A 5,296-nucleotide genomic window follows, 5' to 3' on the forward strand; every position below is an offset into this window, starting at 1 on the left:
TTTAATTATTATGTAATCAAATCTATCAATCTTTTCCTTTATGATGTGATGAGGAAGTACACAGCACACATCATTTCTTACTCCTGTGCCATGATTAAGTCATTGTTAAAATTCAGTTAGGTTTATCTTTTTTAAAGATAAAAATAAAACCGGGCATGGTGGCTCATGCCTGTAATCCCAGCACTTTGGGAGGCCCAGGTGGGCAGATCACCTAAGGTCAGGAGTTCGAGACCAGCCTGGCCAATATGGTGAAACCCCATCTCTACTAAAAATACAAAAATTAGCCAGGCACACGCCCGAAATTCCAGGTTCTCGGGAGGCTGAGGCAGGAGAAGTGCTTGAACCCGGGAGGCAAAAGATGCACAAAGCTGAGGTCGCACCACTGCACTCCAGCCTGGGTGACAGAGCGAGACTCCATCTCAACAACAACAAAAGTAAATAAAAAATAAAAATAAAAGAGTCGTGGGGAGGTCTTGCTATGTTGCCCAGGCTGGTCTTGAACTCCTGGGCTCAAGCTATCCTCCCACCTTGGCCCCACAAAGTACTGGGATTTCAAGTGTGAGCCACTGCCCCCAGCCAAATTTTAGTCAGGTTGAGATGCGACTTACAGATCTTCTTCTGCTTTTTTTTTTTTTTTTTTGAGACAGGGTCTCACTCTGTCACCGAGGTCGGAGTACAGTGGTGCAATCTCAGCTCACTGCAACCTCCACCTCTTGAGTTCAAGCAATTCTCCTGCTTCAGCCTCCTGAGTACCTGAGATTACAGGCATGTGCCACTACACCTGGCTAATTTTGTGTGTGTGTGTGTGTGTGTTTTGAGACAGAGTCTCATTCTGTCACCCAGGCTGGAATGCAGTGGCATGATCACGGCTCACTGCAACCTCTGCCTCCCAGGTTCAAGGGATTCTCCTGACTCGGCCTCCCGAGTAGCTAGGTTTATAGGTGCGCATCACCATGCCTGGCTAATGTTTGTATTTTCAGTAGAGATGGGGTTTCACCATGTTGGCCAGGCTGGTCTCGAACTCCTGACGCAGGTGATCTGCCCGCCTCGGCCTCCCAAAGTGCTAGGATTACACGAGTGAGCCACCGTGCCTGGCCTGTGAGAATCTCTTGAACCCAGGAGGTGGAGGTTGCAGTGAGCCGAGAATGTGCCACTGCACTCCAGCCTGGGCGATGGAGCCAGACTCTGAGAGAGAAAAGAGAGAAGAGAGAGAGGAGAGAGAGGAGAGAGAGGAGAGAGAGAGAGAGAAGAGAGAAAAGAAAAAAGAAAAGAAAAGAAAAGGGAAAGGAAAGGAAAGGAAAGAAAGAAAGGAGGGAGGGAGGAAAAGAGGGAGGGAGGGAAAGATAAGAAAAGAAATGAAGGAAGGAAGGGATTCAATGATAAATGGGTGTCACCTTGCATCTTTTTTGTAAAAAACAATCACATTTTCCAAAACAAAATTTAGTAAACCATATTTAACTGTTTTACATTTTGCAAATTCTTTTAAATGCCTGGCCTACTAGAAAACTACTGGATTGTCATACCTGCTTGTGTTCAAACTGCAGCAAAATGTTATGGGTGAACTATATGAAGAAAATCTAGCCTTATACATATGTGGATACATACATATATACTTCTTTTTTTTGAGACAGGGTTCCTCAGGCTGGAGTACAGTGGCACGATCTCGGCTCACTGCGGCCTTTACCTCCCAGGCTCAAGTGTTCCTCTCACTTCAGCCCCAGTAGCTGGGACTATAGGTGTGCACCACCACACCTGTTTAATGTTTGAATGTTTTGTAGAGACGGATTTTTGCCATATTGCCCAGGCTTGCCCTCCCAAAGTGATGTGACCTTGCATGGATCTTTTACTCTTGCATGATTTTGTAATATTTGAAAATATTGGCCAGGCACAGTGGCTCATGCCTGTAATCCCAGCACTTTGGGAGGCCAAGGTGGGCAGATCACCTGAGGTTGAGAGTTCGAGACCAGCCTGACCAACATGGAGAAACCCTGTCTCTACTAAAAATACAAAAATTAGCCAGGCGTGGTGGTGCATGCCTGTAATCTCAGCTACTCGGGAGGCTGAGGCAGGAGAATCGCTTGGACCCAGGGGGCAGAGGTTGCAGTGAGCCGAGATCACACCACTGCACTCCAGCCTGGGCGACAGAGCAAGATGCCATCTAAAAAAAAAAAACCAACAACAACAAACAAAACAAACAAAAAACCCCACCACACCACTAAAAAAATTAAAAATAAGCCAGATGGGCTGGGCAAGGTGGCTCACACCTGTAATCCCAGCAGTTTGAAGGCTAAGGCGGGCATATCACCTGAGGTCAGGAATTTGAGACCAGCCTGATCAACATGGAGAAACTCTGTCTCTACTAAAAATACAAAATGAGCCAGGCGTGGTGGCGCATGCATGTAATCCCAGCTACTCCAGAGGCTGAGGCAGGATCATCACTTGAACCCAGGAGGCACAGGTTTCCATGAGCCGAGATCACACCATTGCACTCCAACCTGAGCAACAAGAGTGAAACTCTGTCTCAAAAAAAAAAAAAACAGTTTATATTGGTTCACTGAGTGATGTGGATCTTCCAAAATGTTGACACTGCATTATACAAATGCTCCTTGATTGCATTAGGATGCAGCTACACTCCCATAAACCCATTATAAACGGAAACTATTGTAAATTTGGTGAGGTGTGGTGGCTCATGCCTGAAATATAAAATATATATGAAAATACTGTAAGTCAAAAATGCATTTAATACACCTAACCTAGAAAACACATAGCTTGATTAGCCTACATTAAACATGTTCAAAACACTTACCTTAGCCTACACTTGGGCAAAATCATCTAACACAAAACTTATTTTACAATAAAGTGTTGAATGTCTCATGTGATTTATAGAATACTGTAATGAAAGTGGAAACAGAATGGTTGTATGGGTATTTAAATTAGGGTTTCTACTGAATGAGCATTGTTTTCACACCATTATAAAGTGGAAAAATCTTAAGTTGAACCATCATAAGTTCAGGACCATCTGCCCAATAAGAACAAATAAAACCACATTATAGGCTGGGTGCAGTGGCTCACTCCTGTAATCCCAGCACTCTGGAAGGCCGAGGCAGGTGGATCACCTGAGGTCTGGAGTTCAAGACCAGCCTGGCTAACATGGCAAAACCCTGTCTCTACTAAAATTAGCCAGGTGCAGTGTCATGTGCCTGTAGTCCAAGCTACCCGGGAGGCTGAGGCAGAAGAATCACTTAAACTTGGGAGGAGGAGGTTGCAGTGAGCCGAGATCGCACCACTGCACTCCAGCCTGGGCAACAGAGCAAGACTCTGTCTCAAAAAATATATACATATATAAAACCACATTATATAATAACAACAAATAATTCACATGTTAATATCACCATTGATCTCATCAGAATTTTTTTTTAGTTTTTAGTACAGCATAATTTTTTTTTAAATTTAGACATAGGGTCTTGCTCTGTCCCCCAGGATGGAGTGCAGTGGCACTATCATAGCTCACTGCAGCCTCCAATACCATGGATCAAGTGATCCTTCCACCTCAGCCTCTTGTCTCAGCGTTGCCTATAGCTGAAACTACAGGCGCACAGCACTGTGCTCAGCTTATTTTGTTATTTTTTGTAGAGATGGGGTCTCACTTTGTTGCCTAGGCTGGACTTGAACTCTTGGTCTCAAGCCATCCTCTCACATTGGCCTCTTAAAGTGCTAGGATTATAGGCGTAAGCCACCGTGCCCAGCCCAGAAAATTCTTGAAATATTGGAAAACTGTCAAGCTCAAAGTAGCAAACACAAGTTTTCCAAAATTCCAATTTTTGCTTGAAAGTTAAAATTTTTATAATTGGCAACAAATACTGTCAATAGTTTTTCTTGAAGTGACAAGATTCTCCTGGTTAAAGAATGTATCTACCAAACACCCAATTCTATTTAACCATAGTTTGTCTGTCAGCCACTCTTTCAAGTAAAAATGGTGTTTCATGAAGAAAGCAGTTAGTTCAGCTTGCAATTCAAATAATTACGTAAGTAATTTCCTCAAGACAACTATCTAACTTTTTTTTTTTTTTTTTTTTTTTTTTGAGACTGAGTCTTGCTCTGTCCCCCAGGCTGGAGTGCAGTGGTGCGATCTCGGCTTACTGCAACCTCTCCCTCCCAGGTTCAAGTGATTCTCCTGCCTCAGCCTCTGGAGTAGCTGGGACTACAGTGCATACAACTTATTTTGTTCAGTAGAGACGGGGTTTCACCATGTTGGCTAGGCTAGTCTTGAACTCCTGATCTCAAGTGATCTGCCTGCCTCAGCCTCCCAAAGTGCTGAGATTACAGGCGTGAGCCACTGCGCCCGACTGACAACTATCTACTTTGGTATGCAGCAAAAATGCTTCATATCTACTTCTCATTTCATTACACTATACATATACATATATATATATACACACACACACACACACGTGTGTGTGTGTGTGCATACTCAATGTTACAAAGTTGTAACATTGGAAATTACCAAGTTTTATTATTACTATTTTTTTTTGAGGCGGAGTTTCACTCTTGTTGCCCAGGCTGGAGTCCAGTGGCATGATCTCAGCTCACCGCAGCCTCTGCCTTCCGGGTTCAAGTGATTCTCCTGCTTCAGCCTCCCTGAGTAGCTGGGACTACAGGCATGCGCCACCATGCCTGGTTAATTTTGTACTTTTAGTAGAGACGGGGTTTCTCCATGTTGGTCAGGCTGGTCTCGAGCTCCTGACCTCAGGTGATCCACCCATCTTGGCCTGCCAAAGTGCTGGGATTACAGGCGTGAGCCACCACACCCAGCCTTGTTTTTTTTTTTTGAGACGGAGTCTCACTCTGTCGCCCAGGCTGGAGTGCAGTGGCGCAATCTTGGCTCGCCGCAACCTCCACCTCCCAGGTTCAAGTGGTGATTCTCCTGCCTCAGCCTCCTGAGTAGATAGGACTACAGGCAGGCACCACCACACCTGGCTAATTTTTGTATTTTTAGTAGACATGGGGTTTCACCATGTTGGCCAGGATGGTCTCAATCTCCTGACCTCATGATCCACCCACCTCAGCCTCCCAAAGTGCTAGGATTACAGGTGTGAGCCACCACGCCTGGCCCAAGTTTTATTATTTCATCACAGGACTCTCTTAATTCAAACTAAAAACTGTGATCATGTGTTGGTGAAGAATACAATGGAGACTTGCATTCACTTCTTTGATTCTTGATTAATACCAAGGAACTGGCAGTTTCAATTTCTTTTCTTTTTTTTTTTTTTTGAGACAAGGTCTTTCTCTGTTCATC

This window comes from Homo sapiens, chromosome 13 (genome assembly GCF_000001405.40).
Source record: "Homo sapiens chromosome 13, GRCh38.p14 Primary Assembly".
NCBI classification, from domain to species: domain Eukaryota; kingdom Metazoa; phylum Chordata; class Mammalia; order Primates; family Hominidae; genus Homo; species Homo sapiens.